The 19,579-nt window shown below is 43.8% G+C and overlaps 2 long non-coding RNA genes across 4 annotated transcripts in view, besides 1 other annotated feature; one reads left to right on the top strand and one right to left on the bottom strand.

The window, feature by feature from the left end:
- LINC01823 (long intergenic non-protein coding RNA 1823) overlaps window positions 1–6,887 on the bottom strand; it is a 19,556-nt gene extending 12,669 nt beyond the window's left edge. The window contains exons 1-4 of one of the 3 annotated variants that reach the window (NR_183364.1): window positions 6,771–6,887; window positions 4,055–4,101; window positions 2,568–2,792; window positions 570–1,049 (exon numbers count right to left, since the gene is read on the bottom strand). This is a non-coding gene — a long non-coding RNA (long intergenic non-protein coding RNA 1823). Of the gene's footprint in view, window positions 1–569; window positions 1,050–2,249; window positions 2,421–2,567; window positions 2,793–4,054; window positions 4,102–6,770 lie in introns of those variants that run through there. The other 2 variants (NR_183363.1, NR_183365.1) reach the window with 2 other exon arrangements.
- Window positions 6,484–7,145: an enhancer, noted in NCBI's record as "H3K27ac-H3K4me1 hESC enhancer chr2:122547721-122548382 (GRCh37/hg19 assembly coordinates)". NCBI's record gives its function as "activates a minimal SCP1, AML or CMV promoter by ChIP-STARR-seq in primed H9 embryonic stem cells {active_cell/tissue: H9 hESC(primed)}" and the evidence as "EXISTENCE:reporter gene assay evidence [ECO:0000049][PMID:30033119]".
- On the top strand, window positions 6,926–19,579 carry LOC105373590 (uncharacterized). The gene is made up of 3 exons (XR_923272.2): window positions 6,926–7,433; window positions 18,424–18,500; window positions 19,493–19,579. It is a non-coding gene; the product is annotated as an uncharacterized LOC105373590 (long non-coding RNA).

Raw genomic sequence — 19,579 nt, 5'->3', positions numbered from 1 at the left:
TGAAGAAGTTGCCACTCCAGTGGCAGGCATGAGAAGTCCCCAGGAAGAGTGCTGAGGTATGGGAAAGCTCTGGGGTCATTATTTGGGGAGGAAGCCAACCTTGTGCTCTGGGTGGCAACCGACACCTCTCCATTAGAAGAAGGGGGAAGCTCCCGCTCATAATCAGGAGTTTCCAGAGGCAAAGACAAAAGGAGAAGAGGAGGCCAGCAATAGCCTCTGGGGAACCAGGAAGAAGAAGAGTGAGTGAGGCTGGATGACGATGGACAAAGATCAGCAATCTAAAACTGAAAAAGGAAAAGCCTGCTGGTGGAAGGGCCAAGACGGGACTGTGAAAGAACCAAATACCCAGAGACTCAGTAGTTGCCATGGAGAGTGTGGAGTAAGCCCCTCCTCCTCTCCCACATGGACCTTCTGCAAAGGGCAAGTTGCTCATCGTATGAGCTGAGCTGTGTCCCCCCAAAATTTATGTGTTGAAATCCTAACACCCAGTACCTCAGAATAGGACTATGTTTAGAGACAGTCTTTATAAAGATAACTCAGTTAAAAAGGTCACATAGGCAGGCACTTACCCAACATGACCGGTGTCTTCATAAGAAGAGGAAGCAAGGACACTGACATGCACAGAGGAGAGATCTTGGAAAGACGCGGAGAAGACGGTCATCCACAAGGCAAGGAGGGAGGCAACAGAAGGAATAGCCTTGCCACCACCTTGATCCTAGACACCTGCCTCCAGAACTATGAGAAAGTAAATCTGTTGTTGACGTCACCCATTTGAGCCACTTTGCTGTGGCAGCCCTGGTTAGTGTTTAATCAGGGGAGATGGGTTGGAGCACTCTGAAGCAGCAGTGTGTCTCACATAAGAATCTTTGTGGCTGCACAGAAACTGCTCAGAGTCAAACCCAGCAGCTTGAAGCAGAAGAGTAAGACTCCCTGGGAAGCCACAGAAATGACGAACAGGTGTTGGGCTTTTGAAGACCTGCAGTTAAGGAGGGGCCAAGGGGTCTGAGGGCCCCGGCCATCATCCAATCTTCACAAGCTAAGGACACTGGCTGGAAAGAGAAGAGAGACATGATTTCTTTTTTTTTTTTTGAGACGAAGTCTTGCTCTTGTCCCCCAGGCTGGAGTGCAATGGCGCAAGCTCAGCTCACTGCAACCTCCGCCTCCCAGGTTTAAGTGATTCTCCTGCCTCAGCCTCCCGATTAGCTGGGATTATAGGCACCTGCCACCACGCCCTGCTAATTTTCGTATTTTTTTTTTTTTAGTAGAGATGGGGTTTCACCATGTTGGCCAGGCTGGTCTTGAACTCCTGACCTCAGGTGATCTGCCTGCCTCGGCCTCCCAAAGTGCTGGGATTACAGGCAGGAGCCATCATGCCCGGCCTAGAGAGACATGATTTCTTTCTGAGATCTCTCTTCCCCTGGAACCTGACCTAGGGGAGAGGAAGCCACTCTATGTGGAGGAGTGGCCACAAATTCGCCCTCTCCCAGACACCTCTGTCCCCGAAGAGAATCTTCCAAGGATCTGCTCTTGGCCAACTGCCCTGTGGGAAATGACTCCACGAATTCCCCAGTGTAGCTACTCCCCGTTCTCCTCCCCACTTTATTTAATGTCATGTTTCTCACCGTCCGACGTGCTGCACATTTCACATATTTATTTGTTTACCATTTATCTCCCTCCATTTGAAGCTTCCGGAGGGCATGGATTTTGTGTGTGTTTTTTTCACTACCATATTCCCAGCTCCTAGAACACAGTAGAGGCTCAGCAAATATGTCACGTGAATCAATGACATTAATTGCTAACAGCCTATTATTGAAAACTGATGAAATCTCTACACTCTGTCCCTAAGGTATTTGCCTTTTCATATAGGAATCCAGGAGTTTGGAGTAACTTGAGGACTCAGGTTAATTGAGTTTTTAAATGATGGAATCTCAGACAAATTGGCAGACTCATGTGGAAGATATCTGAAAGCAGACAGAACTTCCTGACCCTCCTCCAGTCACCCCATGGAATTGGCTACTTGCTCCCTAGAGGTAGACGCCATGGGGACACACATGGGAGAGAAGGGAGCTGGGCACGGGGAGAGTGAGGACCCAGGGCCTGGGCTCCCAGGCATGGCCCACTGCGTTGCTCCTTCTGGAGCTCACTAGCCCCATCCTCAGCCCCTGAGTGCACAGAAGCGAGCCTCTGCATTTTGAGTGGCTGAGACGTCATTTTGGGGGAGTTTATGTCATTATTAATATGGAAATATGCAAGGTTCCATGGCAAGCAGCTTGCCCTTTTATTAATAACAGTTATTCACAGTGCAGGAGTCAAAGGCATTTCTGCTTGGGTGCTCATTAAAGCTGGCCCCATAAAGAATGGGAGTAAAGCAGTAAATCAGCCGTGGGTCCAACCATCTTGTGTCACTGGGAGTAGGGGGTCTGTATCACCAGAAAGTGGGGTGAGTATCTCAAATCCTGCTCACCAAGCTGTGTGCTGGACAGCCCACCCCCCCCCCCATCATCACCTGTGTGCAACCTGGTACCCCACCCTGCTCCTAAGGAGGGAGCCCTAGGTCCTGGAGTCACCTGTCATCTTCAGATACTCTCCAGCCATCACAGGTGGCAAAAGCCGGGGAAAATCTAGAGTCAGCCCAGAAACCGTGACTCCAGCCCAGTTCTGCTCTTCCCAAAAGCCCTGCTGAGATCCCAGGAATGCGCAGCTCCTGCGTTTTTCCAGGGGTGGGTAAATGCTGATTCAGTCTACATTTCTTGAGGAAGACTGGAGGGCTGTTTCCGTGACCTGTCTCAGGGCTGAGGAAATAAATAACATAGGTGTGGGATTCATCGTTTACAAAAGTGTGATGTCATTTATTTTCATGATCTTCATCTCACTACAAACTCCATACCTGCCAAGTCCTAACTCTTTGTGTCACGACGTTCATTGTTATTATCACTGCTACTATCACCACTATTATTAGAGGTGACTCCTCTAACTGACAGAAACTTCAGCAGGATTACATAGAGAAGTAACCCCAAAATGCCTATGTTTCCAAATGATAGTTGACCATAACTTTTGGTTAGCTATGGCTGCATAACAAACTACACCATAATTTGGTGGTGTAAAACAATGATTTATTATTTCTTATGATTCTGTGGGTTGACTGGGCTTAGCTTCTTGACACAGCAACTGGACCTCAAAGTGACCCAGGCCAGGAACAGTGGCTCACATCTATAATCCCAGCACTTCAGAAGGCGGGGGCGGGCAGATCTCTTGATCCCAGCAGTTAGAGACCAGCCTGGGCAACATGATGAGATACAAAAGATACAAAAATTAGGTGGGTGTGGTGGCATGTGCCTACAGTCCCAGCTACTCAGGTAGCTGAGGTGGGAGGATTGTTTGAGCCCAGGAGGTCAAGGCTGCAGTGAGCTATGATTTCTGCCACTGCATTCCAGCCCGGGTGGTAGAGTGAAATCATGTCTCAAAACAAATAAAATAAATAAAAATATAATTAAAAAGATGGCCAAAATAGAAGCTGCAAGGCCTCTGAAGGTCTGGGCCAAGAAGTCCACTGTGTCACTCCAAGACTGTGACATCCAGTCAAAAGATGTCACAGAGCCTGCCCAGTCAAGAGGAGAGGAAACAGTCCCCTGACCCCCTGGCCACTGATGGAAGAAACAGAATGTGCATCCAGGGATAGATCACTTGTGCCATCTTTGCAGTCTATCGGCCTCATCTAAATAACCTTCAACAAAGCAGACCCACTTTCTTCATGGGCGCCTGTGTATATACCACCTAGCTTATGTGAGCCTTGATTTTCTGACAAAGTAAATGAAGATGCTGGTGTCTTGTCTGAACAGGATAACCTGTTAAAATTCCTTTCCAGAGCTGTGAGTCTGTGGCTTCTACTATCTCAGAAATGCTTTCAATTACAAACAATACTAATGCATTCTTTGAACTTCAGGACCTAAAAAAGATGAAAATATCTGTCTTCCCTCCACCAGCAGGCCTTAAATCTTAGGCTATGTTTAGTGATCTTTTAATTCCACAGTGGTGTCAGAACCACCAGACTTACCTGAATTTGTTCCTCAAATTTCTTTTGGCATGTATTATTTTTCTATCCTAAAGGAAAGAGAAAAATTTGGGTCAAACGTTAAATATGGACTGGGCGGGGTGGCTCACACCTTTAATCTTGGCACTTTGGAGGCCAAGGCAGGAGAATCGCTTGAGCCCAGGAGTTTGAGACCAGCCTGGGCAACCTCGTGAGACCACCGTCTCAAAAGTAAATAAATAAAAACAATTTTTAAGTTAAGTATAAAAGCCAGGTTCAGTGGCTCATGCCTGTAATCCCAGAACTTTGGGAGACCAAGGCAGGCTGATCACTTGAGGTCAAGAGTTCAAGACCAGCCTGGCCAACATGGTGAAACCCTGTCTCTGCCAAAAAATACCAAACTTAGCCGGGTGTGGTGATGCACACCTGTAGTCCCAGCTACTCAGGATGCTGAGGCACAAGAATCACTTGAACCCAGGAGGCGGAGGTTGCAGTGAGCCAAGATGACGCCACTGCACTCCAGCCTGGGCAACAGAGCAAGACTGTCTCAAAAATAAATAAATAAATAAATAAAGTTAAATATGAAGATCCTTTCCCAGTACTTCTGTGAGAAAACATGAAACTGGCATGCAAGAGGAAAAGTTACATTAAACCTAAGGAAAAGAGATCACCAGAGGATCATTGACCCAAAACATACATGCATCATAGAAGATGGGAGGAGAAAAACTGGCCCACCCAATGACAATGAAAAGGACCTTTGGACTGGCCAAGCGGACAAAAAAAAAAAAACCTTACTTTTCAAAAAAAGAAAATTTAAAAGTATTACGAACACAAATTCTTTTTTTTTTTCTTTTGAGACAGTGTCTTGCTCTGTCACCCAGGCTAGACTGTAGTGGTAGGATCATAGCTCACTGCAGCCTCCAACTCCTGGGCTTAAGTGATCTTCCCGCTTCAACCTCCCGAGTAGCTGGAACTATAGATACACACCACCACACACGGTTAGTTTTTTTGTGTTTTTATTTTTTTATAGAGACAGGTTCTCACTATGTTGCCCAGATTAGTCTCAAATTCCTGGCCTCAAGCCATCCTCTGATCTTGGCCTTCCAAAGAGCTGAGGTTACAGGCGTGAGCCACCGCACCTGGCCATAAATGCAAATTCTTTTATACGAAATTCCAAATACTGATGAAAAAATGTATTGACATAGCCAAGCAAAACTGCCCTGCAAATTTCCATTTCCTCACATAAATCACTCTTCTTATGTTTCTCTGCACCACAGCATGAGGCTTTTCTTTTGCTTTATCTTCACATAAAACGTCATCAAAGCATCTCATAAATTTGATTTGCAAATTCAACGTGTCACACCCATAACCCTGTCCCTCTGCAAAACAGAATCTCGACCAGCTGCTCTGAATACACCTCTAGAACAATGCCTGGAAGAGCTCATCAGCACAGGACATTGTGAAGACAACAAAACAACTTATGAATAACTGAACTCCCACTACAAAATGGGAAGTGCGTGAAACTGAGTATCGATATGTACAAACTAAACGTATAGCAGGATCCTGATATTAATTTTCAGCCCTTCCACCTAAGGAACCAGTAAAAACTCTAAACTGACCATCCCATTCTGTTCTTTTTTCATGTCTTCTATACAGGGCTGTTGCTTCCTTTAAAATCAGGGTCCATATTGTTACTTGCCAGAAATTTACAGGAAATCTCTGCCAACATTGTAATACAAAAATTCACCTGACATACCAAGTACTTTCTGCAATTGTAATGCTAAGGGTTGCTTCCTCCAACACAACCTGCTCTTGGTGTTTACATTTCCCTGGGGATGGCTTCCCACTCTCCGCAGCTTCAGAATCACTGTGTTCCGCCCACATTCGACAGAAGAGAGGGAGATTTTAAGTTTTATCTTTCTTGCTAGCTAGTCAAAGGTGTCTCCATATTAGGGTCCAGGGTGAAGATGCTTTCCTCTCTTGCACTGTCTCTCTCAACGTCTTTTAGCCACTGTCACCATCCCCAAGGTCACCATGATACTTCTATGTGACTGCCCTGACCTACGTCTTGAAAGAAGCTGGTCAACTCAGGACCTCATGGAACATATTTGTAGCTCCTGTCACACGGGCTACATGAGCACAGAAAGTCCAAATCACGAATTTTTTTAGAGCTGGCAGAGACTCTACAAATCAACTCCATCCCCCTCATTGTGGAAATAAGGAAACTGAGATGAGAAGAGGCGGGGAAGGGAGAGGAGGGGAGAGGAAGGAAGGAGAGGGGAGGAAAGGAGAAGACAGGAGAGATTCATTCATGTTTGCACAGTACAGAGAACAGAAGTTGCATCTCCTAACTCTTTAATGTCTCAAATAGGAATCATTCTGGATTCCAGACTCGCCATGGAGATGGGGCTGCCAGTGAGGATCTCTCTCCTCTACTGCTCTCCTGCAGGCCCATGCCTTCCATCTGTTACTGACTACTAAGCCTCCCTTTCCATCCCTTCCCTGGGCTTGGCTTACAGGTGTCCAGTGGAAGTGTCCACAGGCAGGGCCAGCTTCACAGGAAAGAAACCTGGACGGTCCCACAAGACCCCACATATAGAAAGACCCTGTGCTTTACTTAAATTTCTGCTGCCACCGTCTTGAAATTCTTAGTAGTTTTTGAACATACAGGGACCCCCCACATTTTCATTTTGCACTGGGCACTTACAACTACATAGCCAGTCCCATCCACAGTACATACCACATGAATTAGTCACCTTTGACTAGCTAGCAAGAAACACAAAGCTTCAGAATCTCCCTCTCACCCTGAGTGTGGGTGGAACCCAGAGCGATGACAATGCTACAGTGACCTCACCCACATTTCTCTTCCAGGGAGGGTCAAGAGTGTGAGCAAGAAGATCAATAAAAATTATCACTAAGCATCCTCCCTCCCTGGGCTTCGGGTTCCAGAAAACAACCCTTGTCCCCCAGCCCCAACTACCTATCTGTGAATATACAGCAAGTGCCCCCTTGGCCTAATTAACTAACCTCTCTGAGCCCCTGTTCTTTCTTTCCTCCAATTATAAAGGCCATAAATGCTCATTACAGAAAAATTGAAAACTACAGGAAAATAGAAGGAAGAAAAGGTCACCTGCCTTATTTAACACACATATTTTCTCTATAAGGTACATCGCAGCCTTACTATCTGAGCGTCATCACTGTTAACACTTTCGAGTTTTCCTTCTGGCCTTCGTTCCATGCCTACACTTTTTCACATATGTAAGGAAAGACCACCTTCTTCCCAGCAAGAAACAGTATTGGTCATCTTGGGAGCTTCTGCTGCTGGTGGCCTAGAGAGCCAGATGAAGGAGTAGAGAAATGGCAGCTGACTGCAGGATGGTACAAGAAGGGGAGGAGAGGAGAGGTGAGGAGAGAGGAGGGGAAGGGAGGGGAGGGGAGAGGGGAGAGGACGGGAGGGGAGGGGAGGGGAGGCAGCACCGTGGTTCTGCCGAGCATCGCGTGCTCTCTACATAGTGGTGGGGCTGGGGAAAAGAATCCAGACCTGCTGCAACCAGCCCAGCAGGTGACAAGGACCCCCTCCGCCCCAGCAGTGCCCTGCTCCTGTCACAGTTCCTATTGCAACCAGTATGGCAGGGGGTGGAAGTAAACAGGGACAAGAAATCTTCCACAGCTTTGGGGATGAGATCCTCAAGGAGCTGAGTAGACGTGGATTGTGGGTCATTTCTTTCAACCATAGCCCTTGTAGACTAATGGGAAAGAGTGCAGTGGCTAAGACTAGCCTCCCTCCATGACCAGAGGAAGAGACTTCCAAGGAGGTGCTGGTGAGGGGTGGCGAGAAGGGAGGAAGGCACTGCAGGTGTTCATTGCCCCCTACCCACCCTGCAGGCTGATGGCATTTGGGAAACACCTGCAATGTGAAGGAGTTATCACATCGTACACAGAACTGCATATCCTGGTTTTCCACATGACACTATATCATAAGTGATTTTCAATCTTATGATAAAATCTTGATAAATACTTTATTATTTTCCATTATGTAGATATACTGTAATCTATTTGGCACTACAATGAACATCTTTGTAGTTAAAGTTTTTCAGTATTTAGGATTATTCCTTCAGGCTATAATCTCAGGAAATAAGTAATTAGATTCAAATACTGTGCATTTTTCAGATACTCAATACACTGCTTTCCAAATTACACTAATTTACAATCCAACCAGATTAGATGACAGTGCTGCACATGGGAAAACACACATATACATATACACTCAATTCTCATTATTCCTGGTAGTTATGTTCTATAAAGTCATTACAAGCACTGAATTACAAATACTGAACTATGGCTCCTATGGGAAATACAGGGTTAGGTTCCTGCAAGCCTCTGCTCACAAGATTTTCATCAACCAATCAATACATAACCTTTTTTTATGAGTGTTCTCTTTAAAGACACCTCATTTATTACATGTTATTGATTCATTAACATTAAAATTACAGCCAATAGCACTGTAATGCATGACTAAGTGAAGCTTGTCTAATACACATATCTTCTAATACACGTAAGGCACATAACAGCCTTCTTGCACTTAGAAACACTAGACAGCAATTGAGCACTATTCTTGGGGGCCATTTTAACCAGTGAAATCCCCCCCAAAAAAGCATACAAATGTAAAAAGTGTTAGCTACATGTGGTGGCACACACCTGTACTCCCAGCTACTCAGGAGACTGAGGAGGGAGGATCACTTGAGCCCAGGAGTTCAAGGCTGCAGTGAACTATGATCATACATGACACAGCACTCCAGCCTGGGTGACTGTGTGAGACCCCATCTCCAAAAACAAGTTAAGGCTGGACGTGGTGGCTCACGCCTGTAATCCTAACAGTTTGGGGGGCTGAGGCGGGTGGATTACCTGAGGCTAAGAGTTCGAGACCAGCCTGGCCAACATCGTGAAACCCAGTCTCTACTAAAAATACTAAAATTAGGCCGGGCACTGTGGCTCACGCCTGTAATTCCAGCATTTTGGGAGGCCGAGACGGGCAGATCACCTGAGACCGAGAGTTCAAGACCAGCCTGACCAACATGGAGAAACTCCATCTCTACTAAAAATAAAAAAAAATTAGCCAGGTATGGTGGTGCATGCCTGTAATCCCAGCTACTCCGGAGACTGAGGCAGGAGAATCACTTGCATCCAGGCGGCAGAGGTTGCAGTGAGCCGAGATCATGCCATTGCAAGCCAGCCGGGGCAACAAGAGCGAAAATCCGTCTCAGAAAAAAAAAAAAAAAAAAAAAGCAGCTGGGCATGGTGGCGAGCGCCTATAACCCTAGCTACTCGGGAGGCTGAGGCAGGAGAATCACTTGAATCCAGGAGGCAGAGGTTGCAGTGAGCCAAGATCATGCCACTGCACTCCAGCCTGAGCAACAAAGCAAAAACTCTGTCTCAAAAAAAAAAAAAGTTAAATTTAAAATTTTTAAGTGTTAAAAAAGTAGCACTAAATAGACCACAAAATGGACACTTGCTTACAGTGTGGGAGCTGAACCAAGAAGGCAGAGTATCCCCTTGTTCACCTCATCTGGAAATGTGCACATTGGAGAACTCAGTTTTTTACCACTCTGAGCATGTCTGGGAATGACCATGAAGATTACTTTTGGAGTTACTAGTAAATTTTAACAAGTAGGTGAATTCACAAATACAGAATCTGTGAATAATGAGGCTTGACTGTATTTATACGTGTGTGTACCTATGTATGTACGTGTGTGTGTGCATATATATCTATAGATAGAGATAGACAGGCAGATAGATAGATCAATCTTGTCTTAGACTCCAGGAGAGCATGTGAAGTTTTTCTTTTGAAAAAGTAAATCGCTGGGTGCGGTGGCTCATGCCTGTGATCTCAGCACTTTGGGCGGCTGAGGTGGGTGGATCACTTGAGCTCAGAACTTCAAGATCAGCCTGGAAAACATGGCAAAACCTCGTCTCTACTAAAAATACAAAAATTAGCCAGGTGTGGTGGCCTGTACCTGTAATCCTAGCTACTTGAGTGGCAGAGGCAGGAGAATTGCCGAAACCCAGGAGGAGAAGGCTGCAGTGAGCTGAGATCACACCACTGCACTCCAGCCTGGGCGACAGAGTGAGACCCTGTCTCAAAAAAAAAAAAGTATAGCAAGAAGACAAACATATGATAAGACAAGTAGAGTAAAATGTTAATGGTAAAATCTAGATGGTGGGTTTATAGGTGTTCACTATAAAAGCCAATTGTTCCAGAGTTTAAAATTTTTCATAATTAAATGTTTTCTTTAGTCATATCTATAGAATAAATAAGGAAGAATATAGTCAAACTGATGCAAGCACTTATTTCTGGAGAGTAGAATTGTAAGAGATGTTCACCTTCTTTTCTCCTTCTTCTTTTATTTATTTATTTATTTTTTATTTTTATTTTTTTTCAGAGACAGGGTCCCACTATGTTGCCCAGGCTGGTCTCAAACTCCTGGGCTCAAGCGATCCTCCTGCCTCAGCCTCCCAGAGTGCTGGGATTACAGGTGTGAGTCACCACACCCGGCCTGAGGCTTTCTCTTTCTACCTGATACATTTCTAGAGAAAAATAAGATTATTCTTTATCCTTACCATTTCATCTTTTCTCATATTCTTTTTTCAGCCAGAGAGGTTAGCTGATGTGTCGATGTTTCTCCAAGCTTACTTGATAAGGACTCAAAGGCAAGGCTGACTGTGGACGGTAGGAGCTAGAATGGGGTGATGCACCCACAGTGTGGCTGACCCCAGGCTGCTCAGACCTACTACACTCACCGTTTCTTAGCCCATCCCTGCTATTTCCCTTACGCACCCCTGTATTGCTGGTGTCCTACATTGCACCTTACCGCCCTGATCAGACAGCGAATTCCTTGAAAATAGAGACCGCGGCAGCAGCACAGCAAATGGAAGGAGCATCGGCTTTGGACCAGGACTGCTGTGGGCTCAGGTCCCAGTGCAGGGCACGGCTGAGAACCTGTTTCCTTATCTCTAAGATGCTGTACAATTCAAGTCTCAGCTACAGAATGCTTCAACCTGGGAACGTTATCCCAATCCTATCCCAAGAGTGCTGGGAATTTTGTCCCAAGCAAGACTTCAGAAATGAGTCGCACCCAATCCTAAAGAAGGAGGAAAAGAACAAGGGCAAGAATGCAGTGCAGGGAGGGGCTAGAGTTGAAGAGAGACTGCTTGTCTGAGTAGGGCATGTTGGTACTCTCTTAGCTGTGCAGCATCCAAATTTGCTTCCCACCCAGATTGTTGCTGCAGCGTGAGCTTGGCTACAGTTTCCTCTGCCTACCTCTCTTTGCTCTAACCCATTTTCCAGCAAAGATGCCTCTTTGAGATCAAAATGGTGCCCTGGGGTACCTTGGCACACAGTTTGAAACCCATGACTCTAGGGAAATAGAAAAAACAGAGTGGAGGAGGCAAGGATAAAATGTAGGCATCTTTGAAGGTACCTTGTATAAAGTTAGATTAAAAGCAAAAACAAAGCCATTCCTAAAAATCGAACTCAAGCTGAAACTAATGAGCTTCATAGTATATCAAGTTTATGGCATAAAAATTATCTCAGGTGACTATTAATAGTACCTCCCTAAGGACAAATACAAATACATCCTAAGGACAAAAAAGAACCATAAAGAAATCTTAAACCACATTCAGTAGACTTAATGTTAACAACATCATTGGAATCAGTATTTTGGGTTTTTTTAATTTTTATTTTATTTTATTTTTGTAGAGATGGGATCTCCCCATGATGTCCAGGCTGGTCTCAAGCTCCTGGACTCAGGCAATTCTCCCGTCTCAGCCTCCCAAAGTGCCAAGATCACAGGCGTGAGCCACTGAGCCCAGCCTGAAATGAGTATTTTGAAATTACTGCAGAGCAAGAGATATGGATATAAATATAGAAAATGAGAGAAGGCATGTAAGAAATTATGGTAATATCATCAAGCACAAAAATGTTTAGGGTAGAAAAAAGAGAGTCAAACATAAAATTCACATAAAATGCAAAAAAGTTAAAATGCTATCATCTGTAAATTGGATTGGAAATATCAGAATAAATTCATGAATTATTTTTCTATTTTAAAAAGTATGGGGCCGGGCATGGTGGCTCACGCCTGCAATCCCAGCACTTTGGGAGACCAAGGCGGGCAGATCACCTGAGGTCAGGAGTTTGAGACCAGCCTGGCCAACATTGGTGAAACCCCACTTCTACTAAAAATACAAAAATTAGCCTGATGTGGTGTCGGGCACCTGTAATCCCAGCTACTCGGGAGGCTGAGGCAGGAGAATCACTTGAACCCGGGAGGTAGAGGTTGCAGTGAGCCAAGATCGTGCCATTGCACTCCAGCCTGGGTGACTAGAGTGAGACTCTGTCTCAAAAAATAAAAAAATAATGAAAAAATAAAAAGTATGGGCTGGGTGCAGTGATTCATGCCTGTAATCTCAACATTTTGGGAGGCCAAGGAAGGAGGATCACTTGAGTTTGAGACCAGAATAGGCAACATAGTGAAATTTTATCTCCACAAAAAATGTTTTAAAAAATTAGTCAGGCGAGGCAGCACATGCTTGTAGTCCCAGTTATTCAGGGGACTGAGGCAGGAGGATCGCTTGAGCCCGAGTTAGAGGTTGCAGTGAGCTATGATCCTGCCACTGCACTCCAGCCTGGGTAACAGAGCACGATCCTGTCTGAAAAATAAATAAACAAATAAATAAATTGTCAAAGCAGTGACCACTGAAAAGGCCAGCAGCAGTGATAACCCAGTAGCAACTAGTAACCCCTTGTGCCCATAATGTGGTCTCTAAATACCGTTTTCCCCTAAAGGGAACCAAGACACCTTTGAGACATGGCCACTCCAGTTCTGCAGTGGAAAATGAATACTGAGTCTAGAGTATCTTGTGTCTAAAAGTAAGAAAACTATCAGACACTCCCAAGTTATGTCAAAATGTTACAGAAATTGTTGCGTTTTATTTAAGTTCACAAACAGACAAAACTCATGCATCATGAGAGAAGTCAGCATAGGGGTTACTTTTAGGATGAGCAGAGCAGTGGCTAGGAATAGACAAGAAGCTTCTAGGGTGCTGGTATCTTATCTGGAGGCAGTTACACAGGCACATATATTATTTTTTCTATGATTTCTTTTTTATGTTTATCATTTTATTTGTCATTTTTATCTTTTTTATATTTATCATCTTAAGCATTTCTAAGTGTACAGTTCAGTAGTGTTAAGTATATTCCCATTGCTGTTCAACCAATTTACAGAATTCTTTTCATCTTGCAAAACAAGCTCCACACCCGTTAAACAGTAACTCCTCATTCTTCTCCTTCCCCAGTCCTCAGCAACCACTATTCTACTACAAATTTGACTACTCTAGGTGCCTTTTATAAGTGGAATCATGAACAGTATTTGTCCTTTTGAGTCTGGTTGATTTCAAGCATAATGTCCTCCAGGTTCATCCATGTTGCAGCATGTGTCAGAATTTCTTCCTTTTTAAGGCTGAATAATAACCCACTGTGTGTATACACCACATTTTGTTTATTCATTCATCCATCAATGGACGCTTGGGTTGCTTCCACTTTTTGGCTATTGTGAATGATGCTGCTATGAGCATGGGTGTTCAAATATCTCTCAAGACCCTACTTTCAATTATTTTAGACATATGCAGTGATGTGGAATTACTAGATCATATGGTAATCTATTTTTAATTTTTTGAGTATTTAAATTGTACCTAGCTATATACTTGAGATCTGTGTACTTTTACAGGCATATGTTACTAATTGATCAGTAAGAATCAAAACATAAGCACTTTAGAAAACATTTTGACAGTATCTTACAAAGTTAACTATATGCTTATCATGAGTCAGCAATCTCATTCGTGGTTATTTACCCAAGAGAAATAAAAACACATCCACACAAACACCTGTACGGGAATGTTTATAGCAGCTCTATTCATGATATCAAAAAGCTGGAGACAACCCAAATATCCATCTGCTAGTGAGTGGATGAATGAACTGTGGTACATCCATACACATGAATCTGCTCAGCAACAGAAAAGGAACAAACTCCATTTCCTGCAGTGGAGAAAAAGAAAAGGAATAAACTACCACTATACACAAACATCGATGAATTTCAAAAGCAGGCTGGGCGCAGAGGCTCACACCTGTAATCCCAGCACTTTGGGAGGCTGAAGTGGGAGGATCACTTGACGCCAGGAGTTTGAGACCTACCTGGGCAACACAGCAAGACCTCATCTCTACCAAAAAAGTAAATAAATAAAGAATATGAAAGCATTATGCTAGGTGAAAGAAACCAGACAAAAGTCTACATACTAGTCCATTTATATGAAATTCTAGAGAAGGCAAAATTGTAGTGATAAGGCAGATAAATAGTTGCCAGGAGCCTGGATTCAGGGAGGGCATGAAGGAACTTTTAGAGTTGGTAGAAATGTTCTATGTCTTGATAGTGGTGGCAGTTACCTGATTATATTTAAAACTCACCAAAATTGTATGCTTAAAATTGGTGAATTTTATTTTATTTAAATGATGCCTCGATAAGGATTCCTTAGAGAACTAAAAGTAGATCTACCATTTGATCCAGCAATCCCCCTACTAGGTATCTACCCAGAGGAAAAGAAGTCATTATATGAAAAAGATACTTGCACACGCATGTTTATAGCAGCACAATTTGCAATTGCAAAAATATGGAACCAGCCCAAATGCCCATCAATCAATGAGTGGATAAAGAAATTGTGGTATATATATATATACCATGGAATACTACTCAGCCATAAAAAGGAATGAAATAATGGCATTTGCAGCAACCTGGATAGAATTGGAGACTATTATTATAAGTGAAGTAACTCAGGAATGGAAAACCAACATAGTTTGTTCCCTCATATGTGGGAGCTAAGCTATGAGGATGCAGAGGCATAAGAATGATACATCGGACTTTGGGAACTCGGGAGAAAGATCGGGGGCTGGTGAGGGATAAAAGACTACAAATTGGCCACAGTGCACGCTCCTCAGGTCGTGGGTACACCAAAATCTTAGAAATCACCACTAAAGAACTTATTCAGGTAACCAAATAATACCTATTCCCCAAAAACCTATTGAAATTTTAAAAAATAATAGAATAAAATAAAATTTATATATATAACAAGAGGAAAAAGATTATACCTCAATAAGGCTGCTTTTTTACGTGTGAGAAGGAAAAGGAAACCCTCACTGGTCACTTTTGGGGGTTGCTAGGGCACCAATTCATCATTCTGGAAACTGATAATTAAAAGGAAAGAATCAAGTAATTATCTGCCTTTCCTGTACAGACTATATTTCAGGGTGCAGCCTCTACTGTGGTTCTTTTCAGATGCTACTAAACATTCAGACTCGCAAGCTGACCGTGAGCCACACCGGAAATGAGAGCCTCTGGGAAGGCCATAGGGCAGGAACCACAGCTGGCCCACCGGCAGCACCAGGCACTCCCCTTCCTTGGCTATAAGGACGCAAAGGCATAAGAATGATACATTGGACTTTGCCATGAAGCAGCCCTAAGGCCACCCCAGGAGCTGTCCTCTCCCCAGGGAGACCCAACATGGCGCAGGAACAGGAACCGTGCTAGGGTAGAAGCCTGGTGCCCACAGGAACCAATGTCTCTTGAAACAAGTCCACAGATAGGAGTTTCCAGAGCCCCTCGAGAATCCCTGCACTCAAGGAAGCTATGGCAGATGGCATTTTCCAAAGAGGGACACGATACTCTTGCCCCATATGTGATTTCAGAAACTTGCCACATAAAGAGGTGAATCAAATTTTTATAATAAACATTACTACTGATGTAATTGTTTTAAGCAATGATAAATTTTAAATAATGAAGTGGATGCAAAGAAAATATAATAAAAGTGAAATTCATCTTATATTTCTAAATTTAAAAGATGCAAATTACAAGCAGAATGTAGACTATAATTCTAGTTTTTGGAAAATTTAGAACCACAAAAATATTAGTAGTAAATTTTCTTTTTTTGAGAGCAAGAGATGATCTCACTGTCACCCAGGCTGGAGCGCAGTACACCATCATAGCTCTCTGCAGCCTCGACCTCTCGATCTCAAGCAATCCCAACTCAGCTTCTTGAGTAGCTGGATCTACAGGTGCACGCCACCATGCTTAGCTAATTTTTTAACTTTTTGTAGTGACAGCATCTTGCTATGTTGTCCGGGCTGGTCTCAGCTGCTGGGTTCAAGTAATCCTTCCACATCAGCCTAGCAAAGTGCTGGGATTACAGGCGTAAGCCACCACACCCAGGTTATAGTGAGTATTTTGAGATATTGGTATTAAGGAAAGAATAAACAATAAAATAGTAAAAAGATACATTGGTAAAAGTAAACAAATTTTCTAACTCATAATAAGCTATGCTAGTGGCAGCGTGGTGAGACAGCCACTTTTTTTTCTTTTTTTAAATTATACTTTAAGTTCTAGAGTACATGTGCACAAAGTGCAGGTTTGTTATATATGTATACACGTGCCGTGTTGGTGTGCTGCACCCATTAACTCGTCATCTACGTTAGGTATATCTCCTAATGCTATCCTTCCCCCCTCCCCCACACCACGACAGGCCCCAGTGTGTGATGTTCCCCACCCTGTGTCCAAGTGTTCTCATTGTTCAATTCCCACTTATGAGTGAGAACATGTGGTGTTTGGTTTTCGAGACAGCCACTTTTACATATAGCTGGTGGTAGCATAAACTGGGATGGCTTTTCTGGAAAGCAATTTGAAATTATGTATCTAGTCTTTAAAATATTTATATCCTTTGTTAGGGACAGAATCATGACCCTCTAACATTTCTATGTTGAAGCCCTAACCACCAATGTGACTGTATTTGGAGATTGGGCCTATGAGGAGGTTATGACAGTTAAATGAGGTCATAAGTGTGGGGTCTCAATCGGATAGAGATGGTGCCCTTATAGAAGAGGAAGAGATATCAGAGCCCTATCTGTGTCATGTGAAGACACAGTGAGAAGGCAGCCATCTGCAAGCCAGGGAGTGAGCCCTTACCGGAAACCAAATCAGTCAGAACCTTGATCTTGGACTTTCCAGCCTCCAAAACTGTGAGAAATAAATTTCTATTGTTTAAGTCACCTAGTCTATGGTATTTTGTTATGGCACCCCAAGCTGACTAAGACACCCTTAATTCAAATATATGAGTTCGGCCAGCCACAGTGGCTCACACCTGTAATCCCAGCACTTTGGGAAGCTGACGTGGGTGGATCACCTGAGGTCAGGAGTTCAAGACCAGCCTGGCCAATGTAGCAAAACCCTGTCTCCATTAAAAATACAAAAATTAGCCAAGCATGTTGGTGCATCCCTGTAATCCCAGCTACTTGGGAGGCTGAGGCAGGAGAATCACTTGAACCTGGGAGGCAGAGGTTGCAGTGAGCCAAGATCATGCCACTGTACTCCAGCCTGGGTGACAGAGCCAGACTCCATCTCAAAAAAAAAAAAAAAAAAAAGGAAATATATGAGTTCTAGAAATCTTCAAAAGGAAATAACCTCAGAAATGCAATCAATGACTGCATACCAAGATGTTTATCACACTATTATTTGTCATAATGAAAAACTAGAAATTTTGTATCGAATATCAATATTACTCTTTATAGTGAAATAGAAAAAAAAATGGAAGACTGTAAACCAAAATTTTAATAGTAGTTTCCTCTGGGTGGTACAAGTAAGTATTTTTTTAAATTTCTCATGGGTTCCTTTTTTTTTTCAACTTACTAATGAACTTCCATAGCCTTTAAAATTTGTAGGGAGAAAGGATTTTTGTAAAAACACTAGAGATAAGCCAACCACCTCCTCCCACCCCATCCCCCAGGGAACACATACCATCCATTCCCCAGCACCTGACCTACGGACTCATAGTAGAGCATGCCAATAACGATGGAAGAGCAGCTGCACCTGGTTCATGCAGTAAACATCTGTTAGCTTATCGGAATGCATTCCTCTTACTGGTTTTGCTTCGGGGCCTCCTCTCACATTGGATAGTCAATGGGTGGTGGTGTGGTTGTCAATGAACGTGCATTATTATCGGTCAGAACCCCAAAAGGAAATCAGTGGCACATTCAAACTGGGTAATTTGAGGAGAGTTTAATAAAAGGATAATCTATAAAGGGATGGATAGTGTTTGAAGAAAACATGAGGGCTAATGTCGTGCCCCTTACCTAATAATAGGGCAGTGCTGTTGTCACCCTGGCTGAGAGAAGGGTGTGGTTATAAGAAGCTGAACAGAGGAAGAGAACTGTGAGGACAAAGTCCCCAGGCAGGAGCTATGATCCTGGGTTAACAGACAAAGTCATCCCAGTCTTACTTTCCTCCCTTCTCATTGGCCAGATACATCCAGAAGCTGGAAACTAGTTCAGCCCTTTGATGTCATCCTCTAAGGAGACAGAGCAGAATGGAGAAAACAGGTAAGTAAACCTGAAGGCTATGTCTAGCACAGCCCCTGGGGCTCAGGAACCACAATTCACAGCAAAGCTGAGAATTCAACGTCTCTTCCTGGAGTTCAGCTTCCGAGCTCTTGGTACAGGCATACTTCATTTTATGGCGCTTTGTAGATATTGAGTTTTGCTTTGCTTTGTTCTTTAGCGACAGGGTCTCACTCTTTCTCCTAAGCTGGAGTGCAGTGGCACAGTCAGAGCTCACTATAACCTCAAATTCCTGGGCTCAAACGATCCTCCAGCCTCAGTCTCCCAAGGAGCTAGTGTTAGGTTTTGCAGGGAAGGTAAGGGACACCCACACAGAGAGGGCAGCTCGACAGCAAATGCAGGCTTATGTCCAGCATAAAACCTACAGAAGTGGGGAACCATCCTAATGCCAGTGCCCACAACTGCTTATATGCTGGGGGTACTTATAGCTATGGGCGGGAGGGGTCTGAGCAGCGTGGCTTGCTGCCTGGCAGGATATTGAAAAGATGTTCCCGTGATGAGGTGGTTCTGGCCCTTGTTCCGGTGGGCTGTCATCGTGATGTTCCTTGGATCTTTGCCCACCAAGATATGATAGGGATGTTTCTTTAATACGGCCTTTGTCCGCCTTGTGGTCAGGTGGTTAGGCAGAATGTTTCTCATGGCCCAAACCCCTGTAAAATGTTTTGCTTTAACCAAAGTCTGTAAAATAGCAGGGAGCTTACAAAATGGTGAAATTTGGACTAACAGCTAGGACTATAAATGTGTGCCACCATGCCCAGCTAATTTTTTCATTTTTTTGTAAAGACAGGGTCTTGCTATGTTGCCCAGGCTGGTCTCAAAGTTCTGGTCTCCGGCAATCCTCCCACCTCAGCCTCCCAAGTGCTGGGATTACAGGTGTGAGCCATTGCACCCAGCCCTAAACATACCTTTTATATGCACTGGGAAACCAAGAAATTCATGTGACTCATTGTATTCTGATATTTGCTTTATTGTAGTTGTCTGGAACTGAGCCCAAAATTATCTCAGAGGTATGCCTATATAAACATGGGGCTTAGAGAAATGCTTCTCTAGCCAGTTTTTCC

The sequence above is a fragment of the Homo sapiens genome, chromosome 2 (assembly GCF_000001405.40).
Source record: "Homo sapiens chromosome 2, GRCh38.p14 Primary Assembly".
In the NCBI taxonomy this organism is placed as follows: Eukaryota; Metazoa; Chordata; class Mammalia; order Primates; family Hominidae; genus Homo; species Homo sapiens.
Note: the sequence above shows the minus strand (reverse complement) of the source record. Positions and strands in the feature narration are given on the sequence as shown.